At 38.6% G+C, this 26,396-nt stretch overlaps 1 protein-coding gene across 3 annotated transcripts in view; it reads left to right on the top strand.

Moving 5' to 3' along the window:
• The window catches only part of RAB9B (RAB9B, member RAS oncogene family), a 55,934-nt gene continuing 34,189 nt past the window's right edge, over positions 4,652–26,396 (top strand). For 2 of the 3 annotated variants that reach the window (NR_146558.2, NR_146560.2), the window contains exon 1: positions 4,652–4,849. Coding sequence is in view for 1 of the 3 variants with exons in the window: in NM_016370.4 (NP_057454.1) it covers positions 11,125–11,730 (606 nt within the window). In the remaining 2 variants the exon portion in view is untranslated. Of the gene's footprint in view, positions 4,850–9,830; positions 9,905–11,082; positions 14,583–26,396 lie in introns of those variants that run through there. The other variant, NM_016370.4, reaches the window with a different exon arrangement.

Below are 26,396 nucleotides of genomic sequence, written 5' to 3'. Positions count from 1 at the left end.
TTAATTTTGTATGTGCTGTGAGGTGAGGGTCCCACTTCATTCTTCTGCATGTGGCTATCCTGTTATTCCAGCACACTTTGTTGAAAAAATCTATTCTTTCCCCATTAAATGGCCTTGGCAGCTTTGTTGAAAATCAATTGACCATAGACACGTGTGTTTATTTCTGGATTCTCAATTATATTTTACTGATCTACATGTTAGCCTTATGCCAGTACCACACTATTTTGGTAACTGTAGTTTTGTAGTAAGTTTTGAAATTGAAAAGGCTGAGTTCTCTTGCGGGATTGTGTTGGCTATTCTGGGTTCCTTGAGTTTCCATAAGAATATTAGGATCAGCTTGTAAATTTCTACAAAGAAGCCAGCTGGGGTTCTGACAGGAATTGCGTTGAATCTGTAGATCAATTTGAAGAGTATTTCCACCTTATAAATATTGTCTTTCAATCCACAAACATATGATATCTTTCCGTTTATTTAGATCTTTTTTAATTTCTTTCAACAAAGTTTTGTGTTTTTAAGAGTGTTACTTTTGCACTTCTTTTTTTTGCACTTCTTTTTTAAAATTTACTTCTAAATATTTCATTCTCTTTGATGTCATTGTAAATGCATTCTTTTTAACTTTCATTTTTGTATTCTTTCTTAAAATTTATTTGTTGAAGAAACCACGTTTTTTTCTGCAGTTTCTCCCCCCTCAACACACAGACACACACACACACACCTGCACTCTAAACCACACACACACACACCTGCACTCTAAACCTAAGTCTGGATGTTGTTGCTTACATCCCTACAATGTTAACATATTTTTCCTTGTATTTTTCTAAAAATTCATAGTTATATCTAGGAGCTTGATAGGGTTCAAATTGCATTTTTTGACAAAAAATACTTTCTATGTGCTGCTGTGTTTTTCCATCAAGAGGCATATGATATATGGTTAACACTCCTTTTGTAATGTTAGAAGACATTAACTATTATTACCTAGATCCACTAATTCATTAAAGGTTGTAATTTTATCATTCCTTCATAATTTATTAGCTGGGAATCTTTTTAAAACACTTTCCTCGCCAACTCCTTTGTTACACCAAGGAATAATTTGTATTTAAAAAAAGCAGGTTAAATGTTTGAGTCACTCTCTTTATTTACCAGTTTTAAAATAATGAGCTAGCTTTCTAGGTTTGGCCAAATTGAGCAATTATGTTTTTAAGTGTTTTTATGAATTTGTATATTTAAACATATTTGATATATTTCAATTCATTGTAGTTATTATCTTTACTGATGCTCAAATTGCCCCGTGTTTGACTGATGACAGCCTCTTCAAGTCCTTTTGACTCAACTCTAATAATGTTTTTAGCTTCCTTGCTATCTGGTGTGACAAGATATTTTATGTTCATCTTGGATATTTCTTGCCACATATCTGAAGTCAGCCATTTATTTAAGTAATCCTGGGTCCTTTTATTGGGAAATAGCATTTAGAACCATCCTATGGGCACTATAGGTGAATTTGGACACTGAGATTTTCATTGTTTCTAAGTATTTTTAGTGGACAGAGCTTAAAAATTTTTTTTAAATGACTAAACTGAGTTCATACTGATGCCTTCCATAATTGGATAATCTTAAGAGATCTTTCCTTCAGGCTATGAAAAATCTGGCAAAGTATTCCTATTCCATAATATTATCCCTGTGTCAAATGATTTTTTAAAAAAATATTGTATCACCAGAAACTGTGACTTGCTCTTGGACAATGATAGGTAAATAGTTCACAAATTCTTACTAATTTCCTATTTACATATCTATGACTGCCATAATTTCTGAATAAAACATTAGATGATCTCATGAGTATTGTTGTAAAAATTAGGACAATAGGACAAAGTATTTGAAATCAGGACTATCTGGAAAATATAACGTGTATAGTTGCCACATAAATATTCTAGGACAAAGATGACAAATACGTTGGCCTATGAATATGTTCAATATTAATGATTAGGACAGTAGTTGCTAAATTGGGTCCTGAGCTGTTCTAGTCCTGCTAATAGATGTTCCATAAACAAAAGAAATTCATGTTCACAAAAGTTTTGGAAATGTAAGATTGAAAAACAACACAACAGATTTCTTTACTTCAGGACTCCAAGAGACGTTAATGTTTTAATATGCAACGTGACTCTTCTGGAAGGGAAATAGTATGCAGTGTTTATACACTTATTTGAATGCTTCACGGAACCCTCTTGTACATAACAACTTGTGACTGCTGGACCAGGCTGTTCTTTTAAATTAATCACATTACAATTATGTCTTCCTGAAGCTCAGGTCAATGTATTTCAAACTGATCAGGATGAGACTTTGGGAGATCTTGTTCATTGAATGTTGAAGAGCGTATGTGTGTGTGTGTGTGTGTGTGTGTGTGTGACTCTGAAGGTAACCCTATCTCTGGTATCCAAACGCAATCTTGGTTTGGCCTTCTATCTACCGACTACACTATGATTCTATTGTGTGTGTGTGTGTGTGTGTGTAACTGTGTTATAAAAATAGAATTTTTATTGTGTGTGAAGGACACTATTTGACAGATCTCAATGATTGACCATTGGGAATAGTCCCATCTGAGAGCCACAAAACCATCCACAGCTGTTACTTTGAATCTTCGTGCTGTCCATTTTTGCTGATCCCTCACAACTAGTGTTAGTCATGTTGCTTCCATTCTAGAAAGATAATAGTAGCTGCTTTTTAAGTGGCCTCTAGAGACTCTTTTAATATAGGATTTACATGTAGGAATCTTTGGTCTAACAAAGGATTTTTCTTACCTTTAGGTGTTCCAACATTCACTAAACGTGTGGTGCTTTCAGCAGTTGTGAGATCCTGACTACAGAACGAGGTAGCTTAGAAACTAAAAGATCCTTAAAACTTGCCAGTTGGTTTGGGGGTTTCTCAGAGATTTTTAAACTGTTGGAAAATGGCATCTATGAGAAAATGAAAAAGTAGTCTAGATTGTTACACCTAAAGACGAGTTACTCTAATATGAAGGACTGTTATTTAAAGCATTTCACAAAACTATTTATTGAGGTGCAAAAAGAAAACATTGGAACATCAATATATTTATTTTTCTCATTCTTTTAAAATTTCTGTGGAGTATTTTAATGTTTACTCATTAAAATGTATGTTTAAAGTAATGTGTAATGTATACATGTACAGTAGTACATGTATATAATCTATAAATCCTTATACATATGTTGGGGCCCATGCTCAATAGTTTTTTAATAGACTAAAATGTATGCGGAAAATTTGATTTAGAGGATTGTGTGAATCTCGTCTTCATCAGAAGAGTGTTTTAGAGTGTATGTGTGGGGAACGGGGTTGGTTTAAATAGGAGCACATGAGATTCAGTTACATCAATTTATTTTATTTAAATATAACAACTATTAGTGATACAGCATTCATTCATATTCAGCAAATATTTTCTGAGCATGTCCTATGCAGCAAGCATTGCCCTAGGCTCTGTGCATACGGTGGTGAACACAAACGTTGTCCTTGACCTCATAGTCCTTCCCCACTATAGTTTAGTAGGGAAGACAGCTGTCAACCAAATAATCATACACTTAAATGTACCACCAAAAATGGGTAAGTGTTATGAAGGAAAAATACAGCAAGTTACAGGAGGCTACAAGAGTATAAACTGGGGCACCATCTCTATTCTGAGATTATCGAGAAAGGTTATCCTGAGAAGTGACATTTAAGCTGGGGCCTGCGGAGATTGATTGCACGATTGCCTTGTCAAGAGACAGAGGAAGAGTGGCCTAGATGGAAGTAGCGGGTATGTGTGAGGGCCTGGACGGGGTCATGAGATGAGTGAGGGCCTGTGCCACAAGGTCACAGGGTTTCGGGCAATGGGGAAGCTTCAGAGATGGAGCTGCCTGACAGAGAGGTGGAGTGCAGGCTAAATGACCTCAGGAGCTTTGTCCTTCTTCAATTCCAGGGGGAAAATCACAAACTAGTTGGAAGTACCAGAGGGCTACAGAAAACAACAAAAAGAGACTAGCTGGTCGGCTAGGCACAATTAAAACATCAAATTCTGCCCCAGCAGCAATTCCGGGAAATTCAAGTAATGCCCCCTGTGTGGCCCTCTAGAACTGTATCTGGTAAGAGTAAAGGGCAGTGTGTCCTCTATGCCTGCGCTACAGATGTGGACATTTTTTTTAATTGCCTGAAAATTTCATAAGCTGTAGCCAGTTAGAGGGCCTAGCAATGTGTTGTGATCATGTGTTTTCCTGAGTTATTTGAAACAAGAGGGTGTATGTACTACCCTCTTGGCAAAATTAAAGGATTTTGAGCTAGGATAAATGAGGTAGATCAGAGGATAATTGCAGGAAGTGGGGCAGTGGCTAGCCCTGCTTGAGGGCTTAGGCCCAGGCTGCAGAGGAGCTAAGTGGAAGAGCAATATTTGACGGTCTATTGCCGCTGTGCCTACTAATCGGCTAGGGGAGGAGAAGGAGGACAAGGGAGACCAGGGTTGGACGATGAGCATGAAAGAAGAGTGGGCGAGCCAGGGAGCGCTTGCCACATGGAGGGCGGGAGGCGGCTACACCGGGTCCCCACCGCCGAGAAAGGGGCACGAGGAGGCGGCGCGGGCCCCGCCCCCTCCCCTGGCGGGCGCGGGCGCGGGCTCGAGACGCTGCGCGGCGGCAGCGGCGGGCGCGAGCGGCAGCTGTCAGGCCACCGAGGTCCAAGCCGCACTTGCTGCCCCATTGAGGACGAGGAGGCAGCAGGAGCAGTGACGGTGACTCTAAGGAGCCGGATTCCCGGCACGCAGAGCTGACCTGCCTGGCACCCGCGGCCCTCTCCTGTTTCCTTCCCATTGTGTTGGGTAAGGTGCCTGTGCGTGGGCAGGAACAGGGGCTAGGGGCTGGAGGACCCGGAAGGCCGGGAGGTGGGGGGCCTGTGAGAAGAGGGAGAAAGGAAAGTCTAGTTGATCCCCAGGACCACTCGTAGCTTGAGAAAAGGGACTGAGCCGCTCCCGAGGTCGGAGTCGGGGGCAGGTGACAGTGCAGGGGGGCGTTGCTGAGTAATCCCGAGCTGCTGCCAGAGCCGAGCAGAGAGGCGCAGGGCTCCGTGGGGAGCGGGTGTGGCTCAGTGCGCATGCGCCACAGCCGACTAGCTCTAAGAGCTGGGGGTGAGGTGAGAGGACCTGGGTCGGAGGTAGTTGGGACTATGTGTGACATCTCACTTTCTAGGTCCGTAATGCTAACAGTGCCCCTGTCGTAGAGATGCCAGCATTCTTGTCTCCCAAGGAAGCTTTTTTTCCTTGTGTTCAGCTCGCTTGATGTCATCCAAACCTTATCTACCTATCTGTCCCTGGGCAGTCTACTGAGGAAGAAGTGTCCTGGGGACGATGCCAGATTGCTATCTAGTGTGCCTTTGGGCTTATAGCCCTAGAGCTGTCGTTGTGAGCAGTGAAAGGTTAGATGTGGGACTCCACATTGGACCCTTTGAGTTGCATATAGGATATAAATGTGGGCATGAATGTAGGAATAGCGTTTCAGTGGCATGACAGCTGTGGCATTTGGAGTCGGCATGGATGTAGCTGATAACTTGTTAGCTCTGCAAAATGAATCCAGTGCGTCAGAGGGTTTCCGCGCTACGAAGCACCCACCACCAGCACCAACGCCAAGTATTGGGTTGTATTGGAAACACACTCAAACATTCAATCATTTCTCATCCGTGTTGAATTTTACATAAATATAGCCGCGCCCAATTCTTCAGTGCAATATTTCCAATTATTGTGCCAGCATTCAACAGTGAGTTGAGTAGCCCTTACCAGTGTGTCGCCACAAGATGGGCTTTCCCCACAGGTCCAACCATGGCTCCTCCCCTGTACAGACTTCCAACAGTGCCACTCTCATCCAGTGCCTAGCCCTCCCCAGTTGCTCTTCCCCTATCGATCCCTGCAGTACACATCCCTTTCAAGACTTGCCTCCGAGCAATCTGCACTACTGATTTTGAGCATCATTCCACTCCATGGCAACTGAACTGATGCGAATTTGCTTTTCTGCCTCTCTTCTCTCCATCATCATACTAAAATGTACTATTTTCAAAGGTTCAACTTCTTTTTCTTCATTGTACTGCCTCCTCCCCCACCTCCACTCCCACCTCTAAGCATTCCCAACTAAATACAATAATTTGAATAAGGCTTTGTGGGTACTGCAGATTCAGAAGGTTTCAAGTGTGTTAAAGAACAAAGAGCTGGGGAGTATTGGTTATGGAAATTCCTAATTCACCTTACTCTCCAAGACTGAGACCCTGATGGGAAAAAAAAAAGTTAGTAAACTATCCTTAGAGCATGCTCATTAATGAGTTTGTGGGGGTAGGAAAGGGGAATTGCGTCTCTCGAATATTTTACTCAGTTAGAGTCAGATCTTTCTCTGAATGGGATCAAAATCAGAATAAGCGTTTTGGTCCAAATGCTCGCCCGACAGAGGACCCATAAGGGATGCATACGTCATTTGACTTTCCTATTTACGTATTTAGTGTTATCAAAGAATTCATTTGCCTGCTTAATGTTACCTTGTTTAAAGGTTTGGATTAAATCCGGCATATTCTGGGGGAGGAAAAAATGATTTCATTTGCTTTTACACTGTGCTAGTTCTTTTTAATTTAAGTATGTACTAAAGGACATGACATTCATTTTCAAACAATGATAAATGATTGTGGAGAGGCCAGCACCCACCGACAACATCAACTGGATATCATTATTCTGCTCTTGTTTTGGGTAGGAATGGGGAAATGTATATACTTATTTTTAAAATGTGAGAGTAGGGGGAGGAAAACTGGAGCATTTCCCTTGACTTTCAACAGGTGGAATTCCCATTACTCCCCATCCAGAAAATGATCGAGTCAAGTTCATAACTTCTGCTCTTTAGTTACCTTATAAATAATAGTATTTTGGCATCTTACAGAACTATGGATCTATTGTACCTTGGCATCAATTCAGAGGCATTAATTCTGGGCACCTACCTAATCATTTAATTGGTAAACAAATATTTATTATCTCCATGGAGGATCCTGGTGCTGCACACTGAAGGGGCTTCAAAGATGTATACAGTGAGCTTACTATCTAGGAATTTAAAATTGATCATGTAAGAAAGACAGGAAAAGTTTGTTAACAAAATAAGTCAGTATAATGACATTATTTCAACTGTAAACAATGAGATCCTGAGCTTGCATGTTAATTTGTAAACTCCCTGAGGGCAAGACCTTGCCTTAAACATTTATTAATTCCCAACAGTATCTACATCCAATGGATGTTTGAGTGATGAAGCTTTGCAAAGTAGATTGAGTGGGGAGACACCAGAAGCAGGGAGAGAAGAACTTTCACAATAGATTAGATGTGAGAAATTGTGGGCCAAAATGAGGATGGTAGCACAGGACTAGAAAATGATACTTCAAGGGAAAATCAGCAGGATTGAATGAAGGCAAGGAGACAAATCTAAACTGTATTCATTTTTACTTCTAGAAAATAAATGGGAGTTGGAGACAGCAGAGGAGAGTGGAGGGTTTCCTTAGTAAGGACACAACACACAATAGGCACTGTAGTGTTTTCTCAAATATCAGTAGCAAGATTGGACCAGAAGACCCTGAAGGTCCCTTCAATGCTGAGATTCTGTGCCATATGCAGATGTTCAAGCTTGTTGAGGAACAAGGCATTCTCAAATATGGAAGAAAGAGAAAAGGAAGAATTCTTATACTTTCACTAGCAGGCCCTTTCTGAGAAGGGTTAATACTGAGCCACAAGGCCCCCACCAGTGCATGAAAGGAGGTGGAGGAGCCAGAGGAATAAAAATCTCAAACCAAATTTTTCAAAAAATGCTTACAAATCTTTGCAAACTTCATAAGCTTTTCATTCTCCCCCAAAATCCTGTTAAGTAGGGCAGGTATTATCTGCTCTATTTTTATGTAAGAAGATACTGAAACAGAAAGATTAAATGACCTGCCCAAGTTCATAAAATAAATGAATGGTGTAACAGTGATGAAGACCCTGGTGTCCTGATTACTGCCAGCTAGCTCAGTGCTCTTGACACTGAACCACATTGCTTTTCCTCTTTTTCCCTTGGCATAGAGCCTATAGGCCCAGAAGTTATGTGTGCACATAACCAAATAGGGAATGCACAAGCAACTGCAGCATTATCTCAGACAGTTATTAATACATCATCATTATTCCTGGAGCTGAGCATTTGGTTTCCATATTCACTCAGTCCTTGACCTGTCTATTGAGTTTATCTGCAACTGGGAGAATAGGGTCAGTGAGTCTTTTAATGATGTGAACGCCTGTTTGCTAGGAACTCAAGGAAGCTTGTGTGGCCTGGACGCTTAATACTAGCCATCAGAATCATGCCCAAGTTTGTACTTCTGTTGCTTTTCAAAATGAGAGTTCAAGAGTTTTGCTCTGTAAAATTATCCTACAGACCAGTATAAAAAAATAAAAAAGTGTGCTAACACTTGTTTCATCTCCATTTAAAGAAATGTTTGTTACTTGAGCTAATTCCAAAGACAGCAATTTGGGAGCAGGAAAAAGAGGACAAAAATTAGGAATTGTAGGAAACTTGAGAATTCTGTAGAGTGTATATAAACCAAGAAGGAGGATAAAGCCTATCCATTTAGGAGATATTATTTAAATTCATAATTACTGATTTAGATATCTAATGAATCCTTATTATAAGTTTTATCTATATTTAGAAAATAACATGTGATTATTAAGCAGCAGATTTTTTTTTAAAGCTTCGTTCTTCCTCAGTAAGAAATAACACTACACAGATCTAGGCACTGTTTTTCTTCTTAAACCAGTACTCTTGATGCTGCTTAAATAAGATTCTTGCCATAATTAATTATAATATTAGATGAATGTATATTTAAATTTAATAACACCAGCTAAATATTAAAACTGGTGTTTAAGACAGATGAACTGCCAGGTACAGCGGCTCACGCCTGTGAACCCAGCACTTTGGGAACATGAGGTGGGCAGATCGTTTGAACCCAGGAGTTTGAAACCAACCTGGGCAACATGGTGAAACCCCATCTCTACAAAAACTACAAAACTTAGCCGGGCATGGTGGTGCATGCCCGTAGTCCCAGCTACTCAGAAGGCTGAGGTGGGAAGATTACTTGAGCCCAGGAGGTCGAGGCTGCAGTGAGCCATGACTGCACCACTGCACTCCAGCCTGGGTGACAGAATGAGACCTTGTCTCAAATTTAAAAAATAAATAAAGAAAAGAAAAATGACCTAAACTAATTAATAAAATAATTAGCCAAGATAATATACTTTATTGTAAACAGGAAGCCCACAAACACAATTTTTTTCTGCTCTCTAATTATGTGGAATCAATTGCAGAGACAACCTTGAGACAGACTGGTGAGTGCACTAACAACTTTCTTGGAGATGGGAACGTTGGTAGGTATAAAAGGAAGAAGTTTCATCTCCGACTTAGGATTTCAGCATATCTTAGATTGCTCTGTACTTTCCTTTTCCTGAATGTCATCTATTGTGAATATCATCTTTCTTTAATTTGCTTTTACTTTGAATGGAGAATTCAATTGAGAGACAATATAAAATGTAAAAAATTATATAAATTACAAATTAGGATAAGTTAAAGTTCTTGGAATAAAATTATTTTGCTTATGTTAAGCATAGGTAGCATTTTGAACTTTTATTTTTGAAAAGCACCCTCTGTAGGTTACTTGAGGTTGCTGTGGGTTCTTTTTTTTTTTCTGACTTGAATATATTTTTATATAGAGCCTTAACGTTATTTTATTATAGATTTTTTTAAAATAATGTTTTCTATTCTGTTTTATAGCACCCTAAAAAGAAAGAATAAAACAACAACAGGAAAAAAAGGAAAATATTTAAATTGTGACAAAAACCCACTGGGTAGGTATTTCAAGGGGGCACACTGTGGATTTGGGATATTTTAATATTTGATCTCTTAAAAATGAATATTTAGAAAAATATATAGCTAGTACATAGGCATTCCAAAATCATTTTAAGGGCTACTAAATTTTGTAAAATTATATTCAAATGTGTGTGCTTCCAGAAACTGTTTTGCATGCACTCCTTCGATTAGTGATTCGTTTTCATCCCTTTGGGTCTATTGTATAAATATCATCCAATTAACCTCATCACCGTTGAGTTCCCACAATAGACCTAGTGGGAAAGTACCTAACAGAATATAGGAAAAGGTAGTATTTGTTCAGTAAGCATTTGATCTTTTTATTTTAAGACACATTCTAGGTGTTCCATGTGTAGACATGTTGTGGAGGTAACAAGTAGGGTACTGTATAAATATTAGCACTTTAAATTTTGCAGTATGTTTTCAAATGTTGCTATTATGGAATTAAAACCTGAATCCAAAAACTAATAAGCTATTCAAGATTTCCTTCCTTCATGACAGCTGTTATATTGATATCAGTCAATTGTCATCAACTTAAATGCCATTGTTCCATGAAGAAAAAAATATAGAAGATCCTTACTTGAGAGGGTGTTCCTATCAATGCAAGTATAATGGGGTAAATGCCTGAAGAAACGTAACCTTGTTCTCTCTTTCAAATTCTGGGGTGCAGTCTAATTCTGGCCCAGACCTCTACCGACAGAATCAAGAATCCAGTTTATGTAGCTTTCTCTTCTCAGTAATTTTTGTATCCATCAGGAGCAGACTTCAAACCCCAAGTCAATTTCATACTATTTGTCTATTGTTTGGAACTGTCCAAACCGGAAGCTAAAGTTGTCACACATTTGAGTGGCATTCCTGTTCTAGGCTTCCTCTCCTAGAATTGGGTCAGAACTGAACCAAATTACAGGACCATCTGCTAGTCCATTTACCCATGGCACTCAGCCATTTTCCTGGCACAACAAAAGACCTCAGAAAAACAAGACCTATTTTTCCCCTTATGCAAAATTAGTGTTATTTCTTCTGCTGTACTACATCAATTAATGAGCATAAATCAGAGAAGTTGAATGAGAAGGCCTTATAATTCAGAGAAATTTGCTATGAAGTTGATTTCAGTTTCAGGTTTAACTGTTTTCCCTCCTACTTTTCCTTTTATTTTCAGGTTCTCTTGGTTACAAACTCCTTCCCTTCTGGTGCTGCAAAAATGAGTGGGAAATCCCTGCTCTTAAAGGTCATTCTCTTGGGTGATGGTGGAGTTGGGAAAAGTTCGCTTATGAACCGTTACGTAACCAACAAATTTGACTCCCAGGCTTTTCACACCATAGGGGTAGAGTTCTTAAATCGAGATCTGGAGGTAGATGGACGCTTTGTAACCCTCCAGATCTGGGACACTGCAGGGCAGGAACGTTTCAAGAGCCTTAGGACACCCTTCTACAGGGGAGCAGACTGCTGCCTCTTGACCTTCAGCGTGGATGATCGGCAGAGCTTCGAGAATCTTGGTAACTGGCAGAAAGAATTTATTTACTATGCGGATGTGAAGGACCCTGAGCATTTCCCCTTTGTAGTTCTGGGTAACAAGGTAGACAAAGAGGATAGGCAAGTGACTACTGAGGAGGCACAAACCTGGTGCATGGAGAATGGGGATTACCCTTATTTAGAAACTAGTGCCAAAGATGATACTAATGTGACAGTGGCCTTTGAAGAAGCTGTCAGGCAGGTGCTGGCTGTAGAGGAACAGCTGGAGCATTGCATGTTGGGTCACACCATTGACTTGAACAGTGGCTCCAAAGCAGGGTCTTCGTGCTGTTAAAGATAGGGAGCCTTTTAAAAATGTGCCCCAAATTGATCAGTCAGTAGTGTAAGAATAACTGTGCCCCTCTAAGAGTGCACACACACGCACACAAGAGGGTAAGAGACAAGGTTCTGATTGTGAAACAGAGCCTTTCAAATTGAAGTGTAGATTGATTTAAAAAAATTAAAAATTAAAAAAAATGAAGCTCTATCAAGCCAAGTGTATTTTGCGTGATTTCTGCTATTTCCCCTTCTTGTGTGTCTCAGGACATATCAGAAAATTTTAGTCCTGAGACAGTTAAATATTTTTTAAATCACAGTTTAAACCTAGAACCCAGCTGCATGAAGGAGTTAAAGAGCTACAACTATTTCTTAAAGTGTTCCATTAATCAACTAACAAATGTCACTATCAGACTCTTGCCAAGCAGTTTCTGACATTTCTGCCAAAGGGGAAAAAAATCAGACTTTGAGCTGTATTACAATAAAAATAATAATGCAAATAAGGATTCCTAGGCTTGAATTAAAGAAGTTGTAATGATTAGGAGTGCAAAAGTATAATGATATACACTGACTTGTTTAAATCCTTATGTATGGTTCGCTCCCATCTGAGCTTTTCAAAAAATCCCATCTCAATAAGAGATACTCTAATGACACTGGCAATTGATTATACTTCTTGTGTTTGAAGTCATAGGATACTAGTGAATGGATTATGCTTAAATATGCCAACCACCTTTGCAAATAAATGGTTGGTCTGCTTTTAATTCCTAAGTCTACTTTTGCTGCATAGAGATGTTGCTTCTCTGACAACCTCTTACCAATTTAGCAATGCTGCTTAGTATATGAATTTGGATGCAGTGCTCTCTGCTCATCATTTAGATGGTCCTTTGATCCAACATGCTGGGCTCATGGAGAAGGCTTCATAAAAGATTGGGGGATAATGAACTTTTCTCACAAGGCTCCTTAACTCAAATATTTATTGCAGAAGAAGGAACTGGTTTCTTATATGTTGCACTGTATGTTCAACTAGCCTAATTAGGACATTGAAAGTGACAGAAGAGCAGATCTTAACCCAGTGTTAGAATGAATTTCCCATAAACAGAGTTGTCCAACAGTGGAATGGACTGCCTTAATAGTGAGCTCCCTGCCTCTGAAAATATTCACTGGATGACCATCTGTTAGAATACCATAAAAAGATTTTCTGTGCTGGCTACATGTTCAATATAAAGTCCTTTCTGGCTCTAAGTTCTATGAATATATAAACTACATCAGTGCCATGCTGTGGTTAGATTTATCTGATGATAACAGCTAAGACTATGGAGAGGGACTTTAAAAATTCTCAAACCATTCTGTGATCAATCTTTAACAGCAACTACATAGCTCTTCCTTTTGCTTTTGCACTGTGGCAGGAAAAATTCTTGAGCTCTGAGTAATCTTTATGTGACTGATAAAAAACATCTTAAAGCTCCCATGTTAAAATATAAAAATGGTTTGACAATTTTTGATTACCATGACTGTCAGTTATATACTATATTATGAATATGCAGTGTGGTTCTTGTTGGTTGATCTGTTTACCCTGCATAGATTTTAATCTGTACTTTAAAACATCTATGATAAAAATAGTGACAGACAGAAATTACCCCAAAAAGAGACCTAGGCCAGGAAGGGGGTGGGAGCTTTCATAGGAATACAGCCTAGAACTCTCCATTGTAGCCACGTATGGAATCAGCCTTACTTACATGTAGGACCTTTGTGCTTTAAGAGCTCTGGGACATATTGGCCAAATAGAAAAGAAGAGGACAGTATTTCAACTCAGTCATACTCAATATTTCCAATTAAGATATAATCCTGACACCATTGTTCAATTAACTTTGACGCCAGAAGTCAAAGCCAGAACTGGGACCCCACAGCTCTTAAGTACTGGTCCCTATCCTGCCTATGCCTATAGCCAGCCACACTGGTTTCCAAGTTCTGTGATCATTTTGCTACAATCATGTTAGGGTGAAAATCTGTACGTCAGAACTGTTAAATGCTAATTATTTTTAAGTGCATGAGACCTGGGGCCTTCTCTTTCTACTTGCACTCTGCTTATACTAGTTTCTATTTGTAGATCTCAGGCCTTCATCATAAAGACCTCTATCAACTCACAAAAGTATTTGTCTCTATTAGAGTGGCATGTGGTCATTTGAGTAAAAAAAAAAAAATTACATGGGTATCGGATTCATAGGCATCCTGTCCATCTAAGACAAGTGTTAATTTTATTGGCCCATCAGCTGGAGCCCCTTTCCTCTTAGCCATACCATTGTTTTCTACCAAATTACCACTCAATATCTTAATGAAAGCACTCAACATTAAGTGACATAAACAGTGGCATTTGGGTAAGCAACACTCAGTGGGGTGCTGACATACAGTTTGGGTAAGATTAAAAAACACCAAAGGCTGAAATCTGTGAGTACCAAGAACTGTGCATATAGGTTTAGAAATTGACTGTGTACCCTAGAATGTGCAGTGTAATATTTTCAATAGGTGTTTTTTTAAAGAACACTAGATTTTTGGAATAATATATTTCTAATTAGGACTATACTGTTTTTCAATGGTCTGTTAAAACATCATACAGAATATTTATTTAGTTTATTGTCATGTATTGGCTAACTTTCAGGGGCCTCAGATTCCATATGTCTTCAGTGGATTGATGAATATCAGGTTAATTTGTGCCTGCCCCAGCCATCTCTACTTTATTCTGAGGTATTCCACAATCCTCTTGTTGCAGGTGCTGCTAAAAAAAACTCAAAATTGTGTATCAAATATTTTCTTTCAACTGTAAAAAATCATCTGTGTTAAAGTGAATAAAAAGTGCATTTTGAATAACCAGCACACAATGTTTGTGTTTATTCCCTCCCTTTCTCTTTTTGAGAAATTGGTGGGTGTGATGGACAGTACTTATTAATCAAGTCACTCTTTCAGGCTGCACTGGATGTGGCCTCTGGATCATGTTTCATGTGGTACTCCAAGCAGCCACTATCTAGTGATCAGATATTTCTATACTGATTGTGAAGCAAACTCTAAAGATTGGGGCAGGGAGGTCCTTTTTATTTTATACCACTTTCTTTCTATTTATTTAGTTATTAGAGACAGGGTCCCTCCATTGCTCAGGCTGGAGTGCAGTGGCGCAATCATGGCTCATAGCAGCCTCAAACTCATGGGTTTAACCACTTTCTAATGCATGACGTGTATTGGGACTGGAAATTGAATCTTAACTTTCCACTTTATTTCTTTATTATAATTTAAAACCATTACTTAATGGATACAATGTACACTATTCTGGTGATGGGTACACTAAAAGCCCAGATTTCAATCTGCAATATACCCATATAACAAAACTGCACTTGTGCCCCCTAAATTTATACAAATAAAAGAAAAAATATTATAATAAACAACGTTGCATAAAAAATAAGATAAATGTTAAACCATCAAAAAATATAAACAGAGTAGACATATTCCCTTTATTTTCCTGACTGGTGAATTGTCCAGACCTTAGGAAAACATGAAAATATAGGTGAAACAAATAAGAAAAGCAAAGAATAATTTTGTTAAATATTCTGTTCTCTTGCCTCTCACATATTGGATTTTAAAGATACATTAGCACCCAATGGCTTGAATATACATAATGGCGGTTTTAAAATTATGGACACAAATCTTTCCACAGCATATATAGTTTCATTACATTGATTCCATCTGCCACAGATTTCACTCTCTTCTCTCTGTCTACTTTTGCCTGTTGCAACTTTGGGCAGTTGAAATTGGGGGTGGGGAATTTGTTGGGAAACAGATTTTTTTTTTTTTTTTTTGCCACATGTACCATTTCCATCTCTGAGGATTATAATTTAACACATTATCAGACCATGCTTCAAATGCAGCACCCCAAATCATTTTGACTAGTCTATAATGATGCAACTTTTAGAATATAGAAAGTCATAGATTTATAAGCCACTTAATAAGGATTTGCTCATTTGTAACTGATTATTTTTTTTTTTGAGACAGGGTCTCGCTCTTTTGCCCAGGCTAGAGTGTAGTGGCCTGATCTTGGCTCACTGCAACCTCCACCTCCTGAACTTAAGCAGTCCTTCCACCTCAGCCTCCTGAGTAGCTGGGATTACAGGCATGCACCAGCATGCCCAGCTAACTTTGTGTGTGTGTGTGTGTGTGTGTGTGTGTGTATGTGTGTGTGTGTGTGTGTGTGTGTGTGTGTTTGAGACAGGGTCTTGCTCTGTTGCCCAGGCTGGAGTGCAGTGGCCTGATCTTGGCTAACTGCAACCTCGGCCTCCCGGACTCAAGCGATTCTCATGCCTCAGCCTCCCTAATAGCTGGGATTACAGGCGCCCGCCACCACACCTGGCTAATTTTTGTATTTGTTGTAGAGACAGGGCTTCACCATGTTGGCCAGGCTGGTCTTGAACTCCTGGCCTCAAGTGATCCACCCACCTGGCCTCCCAAAGTTCTGGGATTACAGGTGTGAGCCAATGCACCGGGGCCCATAACTGATATTTTAAAAACAGAATGCCAACTTCCTGTCTTTAATGTTTTTCTGCCTCATTCATAACCCAGTGGGAAATCTCCTCATGATGTCTTAAGAAACAGTACGGTCTCATTTTTTGGAAATGGTTTGGCGATAGTCCTTCCAGAAACAGGAAGGTGTGGAATACATAATTTGTCTTCCATCTTGTAACTGTAGTTTTAAAACACACTGGAAAATCGAGGTATCAATTTGAGTAATTTCAAGCTGGGAGGTGGGATGGACATCTCTACTTTCATTTGAATTACCCAAAGTAGATCTTGCAGCAATTTTTTTTCCTCAGTGATCTAGATAATCATTTCACTTTTTTTCTCTCTTTGCTGTGGAAATGTAAAATTTACTACAGTGCAGTGTTTTTCTTACACTTGATTTTAGGGCAGATAAACTGTAATATACTGTCTTAGCCCATTTGGGCTGCCCTAACAAAATACCATAAGCTTGGTAGGCTATAAACTACAGAATTTCATTTCTCAGCTCTGGAGGCTAGGAAGTCCAAAATCAAGGCATCCGCACATTCAGGGTCTGGTGAGGTCTTGATTTCTGGTTCACAGATGGCACCTTCCAGCTCTGTGGAAGGGGGAAGGGGTTTCTCCTGGGCCTCTTTTATAAGGACACTAATCCCATTTATGAGGGCTTCACCCTTGTGACCTAATCACCTTCCAAAGGCCCCATCTCCTTATAATGCCATAACCTTGGGGGGTTAGGATTTCAACCTATGAATTTTGGAGGGGGACAAAAAGATTCAGAGCATAGCATACACCTTTTGATAAAACGTTAATGTGCATGATTTGGGATATTCACTAATGTTTTCTTTTTCCAAACTGGTCATTTTAATTTCCTCAAGTTTCCATCACCAAAAGAGCTCTCATTCTTTACTACTTTCTCTTTAAGAGAAGGAAGGGATAATGACAAAAGCTAGGCATGTTTATGGAATAAAGGAAAAATTATTAAATGCCTTCTTACTGATATGCTTGCCAAAACTGGTGAGCAAGGATCTCTTATTCTGCTAGTGATGGTAGTGGTAATAATGTGTGAAAGGGTTTTTTTTTAAGGGGGCAAGAAGTTACTTAATATTTTCCCAGTGAAAATAAGCATCTTCACAGCTCAAGATGTGGCGTCGTCACCTGTAGTCATATAGAAACTGCTGCAGTGATCTTTGTGTCTTCATAAATCTCTTTGCCTTCTCCAAGGAAACACAGAGAATGATGATTCAGTTATATATAAATGTCTTTTTAAACAGTGGGTTTTGTGTGTGCAAGCATGTGTATTTTTAAGTAATCTGTCAGTTCCTTTCGTGCTGTATGAACTATGGGTAAATGTATAATGGTCTCACTATAACACTCCTGAATTTTAATCAGACCTGCCAAGCTGTGCCACATCTAGTTAACTGATTGATAAAAAGAATTGGGAAATGCTGCCTTAATGAAAGAAATAGCTCTTAATTCAACATTAGCTATATTGATTAGAGTAAAAATACAAATCACACTTTCCTGTGGTGCATTCATGAGGAAGCAAGAAACAGGCTCATATCATCTCTTTTCTCTTACGTTGTTCCTGGCTGCCTTAGAAACGACATATCCAAGGGTGTGTCCTGTAATATATTGCTCAACATAGAGTCTGTTAATAGATGAACAAGTGCCAGTAGCCTCTGAGTTCTCTCTTTTTCCATTTGTTCCCTGCTAGAAAACTTAGAGTGACCGATAAATGCTTTAAAATGTTCTTTTTTTCTGATTACAAAAGCCATACACATCCACCGTAGAAAAATGAAGTAATGAAAGAAATAGAAAAGCAAGATTTAAAAAATTAAAGTCATCTGTAATGTAATCCTATTAACCTGAGATAAGCAGATTTTAACATTTTAGTGTAGATTTTAATATATTTATGTATTTTTAAAATTGATTTGATACTGCACACACTGTAATCTTTTTTACTTAATATATATCTATAGTACTTAACTTTTCTCTAAGACATATATTCTTCTAAGATTATATTTGCTGTTTGCATAATATTGTATTGAAGGGTTTACCACAATTACCCATATTGCTAAACTTTTAATAAAACACTTATTGCTAGACATTTAGGTTGTTTTACAGCTGCCTTCTTTTCATAAAATAAAGCATCAGTGAAGTTCCTTAATATCAATCTTAACTCTCACCTCTGTTTATTTCCTACTAGTAAAATTTCTAGGTCAAAGATTATGAATTTTTTATTAATTTTAATATATACTGGCAAATTGGCCTCTAGAAACTTATCCCAAATGACATCAACACCAGTAGAATAAGAGGAAGACTATCTTTCCAACACCCAAACGTATGGACTATTATCTTCCTTTTTAACCCCATATGTGCAGTCTGATGGGTGAAAAAATGATCTCATGCTGTCATTTACATTTATTTAATTTTTTGAGAGTAATTGTTTATACATTCATTGGCCATTTTTATTTTTCCTTGAGTGAATGGACCCTTATGGGGGTTGGGGAACATTCATTTTTGTTTCTTATTGATTCCAAGGAAATCTTTTTTTATATTGTGGGTATTAACCTTTGATCTTATCCACATTGCTAGTTTTCTGCAATCCCCTCCCATAGATCTTGCCTTTTAATTTTGTTTATGGTATTTTAAAAATATACTGCCATATTATAGAAAAGGTTATGTTCTGATAAATTAGAAAACTGGTGGGTTGGGGAAAGAGAGGTGCTTATTTGATTTGTCCTTTGTTTCTGATTATACTCGAGACTACTTTTGTTTAGAAAGGTTATGAATCTAAGCTTTGGTCACCATGATAAAAGAATTGCTAGAAATAAAAAATATTCATTCATCCAGATGCTTTAATTGCATGATGTCAAATGACTGGTTTGAATTGAGTCTACTGCTGTAATAATCAGATTATTCTGAAGCCTTGTGTTAAATATAAATGCAGAGATAGAAACAGTTCCACTTTCAACCACAAGGGGGCAATAAAGACCGGTTAGTGTTCCGCCATAGACTAAACTTATATATATGTGTGCATATATATAGTATATATAGAGAGAGTATATATATATATTATATGTATACTTTAATTTCTGGGTTACATGTGCAGAACGTGCACATTTGTAACATAGGTATACACGTGCCATGGTGGTTTGCTGCACCCTTCATCCCATCACCTACATTAGGTAGTTCTCCTAATGTTATCCCTCCCCTAGCCCCCAACCCTTGACAGGCCACAGTGTGTGATGTTCCCCTCCCTGTGTCCACGTGTTCTTATTGTTCGACTCCCACTTATGAGTAAGAACATGCGGCGTTTGGTTTTCTGATCTTGTGATAGTTTGCTGAGAATGATAGTTTCCAGCTTCATCCATGTCCCACAAGAGGACACAAACTCATCCTTTTTCATGGCTGCATAGTATTCCATGGTGTATATGTGCCACATCTTCTTAATCCAGTCTATCATTGATGGACATTTGGGTTGGTTCCAAGTCTTTTCTACTGTGAATAGTGCCACAATAATCATACGTGTACATGTGTCTTTATAACAGAATGATTTATAATCCTTTGGGTACATGTCCTGTAATAGAATTGCTGGGTCAAAAGGTATTTCTAGTTCTAGATCCTTGAGGAATTGCCACACCATCTTCCACAATGGTTGAACTAATTTATACTCCCACCAACAGTGTAAAAGCGTTTCTATTTTTCCACAACCTTTCCAGCATCTGTTGTTTCCTAACTTTGTAATGATTGCCATTCTAACTGGCTTGAGAAGGTATCTCATTGTGGTTTTGATTTGCATTTCTCTAATGACCAGTGATGATGAGCATTTTTATATGTATGTTGGCTGAATAAATGTCTTCTTTTGAGAAGTGTCTGTTCATATCCTTCACCCACTTTTTGATGGGGTTGTTTGATTTTTTCTTGTAAATTTGTTTAAATTCTGTATAGATTCTGGATATTAGCCCTTTGTCAGATGGATAGATTGCAAAAATTTTCTCCCATTCTGTAGGTTGCCTGTTCACTCTGATAATAGTTTATTTTTCTGTGCAGAAGCTCTTTAGTTTAATTAGATCCCATTTGTCAATTTTGGCTTTTGTTGCCATTGCTTTTGGTGTTTTAGACTTGAAGTCTTTGCCCATGCCTATGTCCTGAATGGTATTGCTCAGGTTTTTTTCTAGGATGTTTATGGTCCTAGGTCTTACGTTTAAGACTTTAATCCATCTTGAATTAATTTTTGTATAAGGTGTAAGGAAGGGGTCTAGTTTCAGCTTTCCACATATGGCTAGCCAGTTTTCCCAGCACCATTTATTAAATAGGGAATCCTTTCCCCATTTCTTATTTTTGTCAGGTTTGCCAAAGATCAGATGGTGGTAGATGTGTGGTGTTATTTCTGAGACCTCTGTTCTGTTCCATTGGTCTATATATCTGTTTTGGTACCGGTACCATGCTGTTTTGGTTACTGTAGTCTTGTAGTAAAGTTTGAAGTCAGGTAGCTTGATGCCTGCAGCTTTGTTCGTCTTGCCCAGGATTGTCTTGGCTATGCGAGCTCTTTTTTGGTTCCATATGAAGTATAAAGTAGTTTTTTCCAACTCTGTGAAGAAAGTCATTGATAGCTTGATGGGGATAGCATCGAATCTATAAATTACTTTGGGCGGTAAGACCATTTTCATGATATTGATTCTTCATATCCATGTGCGTGGAATGTTTTTCCATTTGTTTGTGTCCTCTCTTATTTCCTTGAGCAGTGGTTTGTAGTTCTTGAAGGGGTCCTTCACATCCTGTGTAAGTTGTATTCCTAGGCACTTTATTCTCTTTGTAGCAATGGTGAATGGGAGTTCACTCATAGTTTGGCTCTCTGTTTGTCTGTTATTGGTGTATAGGAATGCTTGTGATTTTTGCACATTGATTTTGTATCCTTAGACTTTGCTGAAGTTGCTCATCAGCTTGAGAAGATTTTGGGCTGAGACAATGGTGTTTTCTAAATATACAATCATGGCATCTGCAAACAGAGACAATTTGACTTCCTCTCTTCCTATTTGAATACCCTGTATTGCTTTTTCTTGCCTGATTGCCCTGGCCAGAACTTCTAATACTATGTTGAATAGGAGTGGTGAGAGAGGGCATCCTTGTCTTGTGCCAGTTTTCCAAGGGAATGCTTCCTGTTTTTGCCCATTCAGTATGATATTGGCTGTGGGTTTGTCATAAATAGCTCTTATTATTTTGGGATACGTTCCATCGATATTGAGAGTTTTTAGCATGAAATGCTGTTGAATTTTGTCAAAGGACTTTTCTGCATCTATGGATATAATCATGTGGTTTTTATCATTGGTTCTGTTTATGTGATGGATTACCTTTATTGATATGTGTATGTTGAACCAGCCTTGCATCCCAGGGATGAAGCCAACTTGATTGCAGAGGATAAGGTTTTTGATGTGCTGCTGGACTCGGTTTGCCAGTATTTTGTTGAGGATTTTCACATCGATGTTCATCAGGGATACTGGCCTAAAATTCTCTTTTTTTGTTGTGTCTGTCTCTGCCAGGCTTTGGTATCAGGATGATGCTGGTCTCATAAAATGAGTTAGGGAGGATTCCCTCTTTTTCTATTGTTTGTAATAGTTTCAGAAGGAATGGTGCCATCTCCCCTTTGTACCTCTGGTAGAATTCGGCTGTGAATCCATCTAGTCCTGGACTTTTTTTTGGTTGGTAGGCTATTAATTATTGTCTCAATTTCAGAACCTGTTATTGGTCTATTCAGAGATTCAACTTCTTTGTGGTTTGTCTTGGGAGGGTGTATGTGTCCAGGAATTTATCCATTTCTTCTAGATTTTCTAGTTAATTTGCATAGAGGTGTTATAGTATTCTCTGATGGTAGTTTGTATTTCTGTGGGATCAGGGGTGATATCCCATTTATCATTTTTTATTGCGTGTATTTGATTCTTCTCTCTTTTCTTCTTTATTAATCTTGCTAGCAGTCTACCTATTTTGTTGGTCTTTTCAAAAAAACACCTCCTGGATTCATTGATTTTTTTAAGGGTTTTTTGTGTCTCTATCTCCTTCAGTTCTGATCTGATCTTAGTTACTTCTTGTCTTCTGCTAGCTTTTGAATTTGTTTGCTCTTCCTTTTCTAGTTCTTTAAATTGTGATGTTAGGGTGTCGATTTTAGATCTCTCCTGCTTTCTCTTGTGGACATTTAGTGCTATAAATTTCCCTCTAAACCCTGCTTTAAATGTGTCCAGGAGATTCTGGTATGTTGTGCCTTTGTTCTCATTGGTTTCAAAGAACATCTTTATCTCTGCTTTCATTTCGTTATTTACCCAGTAGTCATTCAGGAGCAGGTTGTTCAGTTTCCATGTAGTTGTGCGGTTTTGAGTGAGATTCTTAATCCTGAGTTCTAATTTGATTGCACTGTGGTCTGAGAGACAGTTTGTTGTAATTTCTGTTCTTTTACATTTGCTAAGGAGTCTTTTACTTCCAATTATGTGGTCAATTTTAGAATAAGTGTGATGTGGTGCTGAGAAGAATGTATATTCTGTTGATTTGGGGTGGAGAGTTCTGTAGATGTCTATTAGGTCTGCTTGGTCCAGAGCTGAGTTCAAGTCCTGAATATCCTTGTTAATTTTCTGTCTCATTGATCTGTCTAATATTGACAATGAGGTGTTAAAGTCTCCCATTATTATTGTGTGGGAGTCTAAATATCTTTGTAGGTCACTTAGAACTTGCTTTATGAATCAGGGTGCTCCTGTATTGGGTGCATATATATTTAGGATAGTTAGCTCTTCTTGTTGAATTGATCCCTTTACCATTATGTAATGGCCTTATTTGTCTCTTTTGATCTTTGTTGGTTTAAAGTCTGTTTTCTCAGAGACCAGGATTGCCACTCCTGCTTTTTTTTTTTTTTTTTTTTTTTTTTGCTTTCCATTTGCATGGTAGATCTTCCTCCATCCCTTTATTTTGAGCTTACGTTTGCCTTTGCACATGAGATGGGTCTCCTGAATACAGCACACTGATGGATCTTGACTCTTTATCCAATTTGCCAGTCGTCGTCTTTTAATTGGGGCATTTAGCCCATTTACATTTAAGGTTAATAGTGTTATGTGTGAATAAGACGGAGGTTGCAGTGAGCCAAGATCACGCCACTGCCCTCCAGCCTAGAGACAGAGCAAGACTCTGTCTCAAAAACAAACGAACAAACAAAAACAAAAACAAACAGTTCTTGTGATATCATTGGCGACAGATTGCAGTATTTAATAGATGCAAAAAGGTCTCTTTAAAACAAACAGGTTTTTTAGAAAAATTCTAAAAAAGGAAGGTTGAGTCCAGTTTAGGGGTGAGGTGCAGAAAATATGGTGATATGTGTGCCATTTTAGGTCAAATGTTGGAACAGACTCTAAGATGCTTAGATCCAATCCCTTCTTTTTATAGACAATAAAACTGATGCTGGACGTGCTGGCTCAAGCTTATAATCCCAGCACTTTGGGAGGCCAAGGCAGGCAGATCACAAGATGAGGAGATCGAGACCATCCTGGCCAACACGGTGAAACCCCGTCTCTACTAAAAATACAAAAATTAGCCAGGCGTGGTGGCATGTCCTGTAATCTCAGCTACTCAGGAGGCTGAAGCACAATAAACACTTGAACCCAGGAGGTGTATCACACCACTGCACTCCAGCCTGGGTGACAGAGCAATATTCTGCCTCAAAAAAAAAAAATTTAAAAATTAAAAAAAAAAAAAACTCAGGAACCGAGAAGTTAAGCAAATTGCTAAAGGCAATCTGGGGCTATGGTTTTAACACTGTAGTTTGGAGGACACAGAGAGTTAGGGATGGGGAAGTAATGAAACCTGAGATGCAAAAAAAGGAAAGGTTTGGTTTTAAGCAAAGCAGGGTTTAGGCATCAGACAGTGGAAGGGGCAGAAGCAAACAGTAGCAAGCAGCTCTGGCCTGGAAGAAATTTTCCCAGAGTCTGTCATATCCTTGTTGCTCCTCCCAAAAGGAAGTAACCCTAGGAACTACTGAGAAGTTGTGCCTCCACAATAGTCTCTGACTTACTGAATAAACAAAAGCTACAGAAAATTGTTGTTAAAATCAGAGTTGTTGGTTTTCGTTAGTGACCCAAGTCTTTAAAAGTCTGATTTAAAATTACCTAAATGATACAATCTAAGTGTCCATACTAAATAGAACAAAGAAAGAGGTACTTGACAGGGAGGATCACCAAGATCCTACTACTCAGTCCCACACTCTCCTTGTTTCTTTCATGTAGAGATAAAATAAGAAAAATAGCTATTGGCAATGAACTGTGGAAATTGGTGTTTAATTGACAACTATGCAGCAGTTTTTGGTTGCTATTGGCTGAATATATCTCCCTAATTAATATGTTAAAAACTTAATCTTCCATGTGATGGTATTTGGTGGTGGAGTCTTTAGGAGGTAATTACAGTTAGCTATTAATTCGTGAGAGTGGAGCCTTCATAATGGGATTCGTGCCCTTATAAGAAGAGAAAGAGGGTATGGTGGCACATACCTGTTTTCCCAGCTACTTCAAAGGCTGAAGCAGGAGGATTGCTTGAGCCTAGGAGGTCCAGGCTGCAATGAGTCATGTTCATGCCACTGCACTCCAGCCTGGGTGACAGAGAGAAACTCCTTGCCCCCGCTTTCCATAAAAGAGAGAGAGAGAGAAAGAGAGGAGACCTCTCTTTCTCTCTCTTTTTCTGCTTTGAGGATACAAGAAGAGGGTAGCTATCTGTAAACCAGGAAGGGGGCCCCACCAGACACTGAATCTGCCAAGACCTTGATCTTGAAGGCTCTTTCCCAGCCTTCAGAACTATGAGAAATAAATTTCTGTTGTTAAGCCATCCCGTCTATGGTATTTTTATAGCCACCTAAGAAGACTAAGTCATTAGCTTTTGTTATTAGCTGTATTTCAGCCAAATGAGTCTTCTAATCTGTAGTGTTATTCTTTAGATTGTGATGGCATGGCTCTTTGTCCTAAGGTAATTTTTTTGTATATACTAAATTGAGTTGGAAAGCTATTGTGTCTCTGCATGATACATTTTTAAATTTTTTTTCTAGAATATTTCTTTAGTTACAGTAATAAAGCATGTTTATTTGACATTCTGGCAGAGATTTTAACTGGCATTTCCACATGTCACTATTATAATAAAAATTAATGTTTATAACGGGAACCCCTAGACATTGCAAGAGCCCAAATTAATTTCTGGATCATCAAAGAAAAACTAAGGGTTATTATTATTAGGTCTATTTTATGGTATGGAGAATAAGCATTTCATGCATGTTGCATAGTGACATGATAATTAACCACAATATTCTATTTCCCTGGAATGGAGAGATTATTTTCTTCCCCTCTTCACTTTTACTTCCTCATAGAATCCTGTGATTTCACTAGTAGGTTGTTTTGTCCAAATTCCACCCAATGCTTGAGTATTTTCACCCAATGCTTGAGTATTTTCACCAAATGCCTGCCACAGAGTCAATGCTAGAATACCTCAGGAGACAGAAAACTTACCATTTTTTGAAGCAGATCATTATATCTTGCAAAAATGGCACATGATCCCTTATATTGAGTAAATTCTGACTTCTTATGACTTCCACTCCTTGGTCCTAGGGCCACTCAAAACAAGGATTCCACATGACACAGGACTTCCGATAACTAAAGACAGTTCTTTCCCTCCTGGACATGATTTTTATAACTTGAAATATCCCCAGGTTTTTCAGTGAAATATGACATATTTAAGTCCCATTACTGTAGCAATTAAATAAATATCTGTTCAATGTCTTCCCAGCGTCAGGTACTGTTTGAGGTATGAAGGTGAAGAGAGTAAATGGGAAGTGGCAGAAGCATGATTGATACCATGTTAAGAAATGGGGATCTATTGTGAAAGGAAAAAGGAATAAAAGAAGGTGTTCTAAGCAAAGGGGTAGGAAGCTTAGGTTTGGGTTAGAGAATGATTACTCATGTTGTGGAGGATAGGTGTGGTGGGAGTGGGCATGAGAAGCCTAGAGGAAGGTGACTAGCGAGACAGCTATAACAATAGACAGGAAAAGCTGAAGAGTCACGCAGGTTATGCCATGGCATTTAGACTTTATCCTGCCAGTGCCTTCAAAGAAGCATTCACAGAACAGCAGAC

This window comes from Homo sapiens, chromosome X (genome assembly GCF_000001405.40).
Source record: "Homo sapiens chromosome X, GRCh38.p14 Primary Assembly".
NCBI classification, from domain to species: domain Eukaryota; kingdom Metazoa; phylum Chordata; class Mammalia; order Primates; family Hominidae; genus Homo; species Homo sapiens.
The sequence above is the reverse complement of the archived record's forward strand: the minus strand, read 5'-3'. Positions and strand labels throughout refer to the sequence as shown.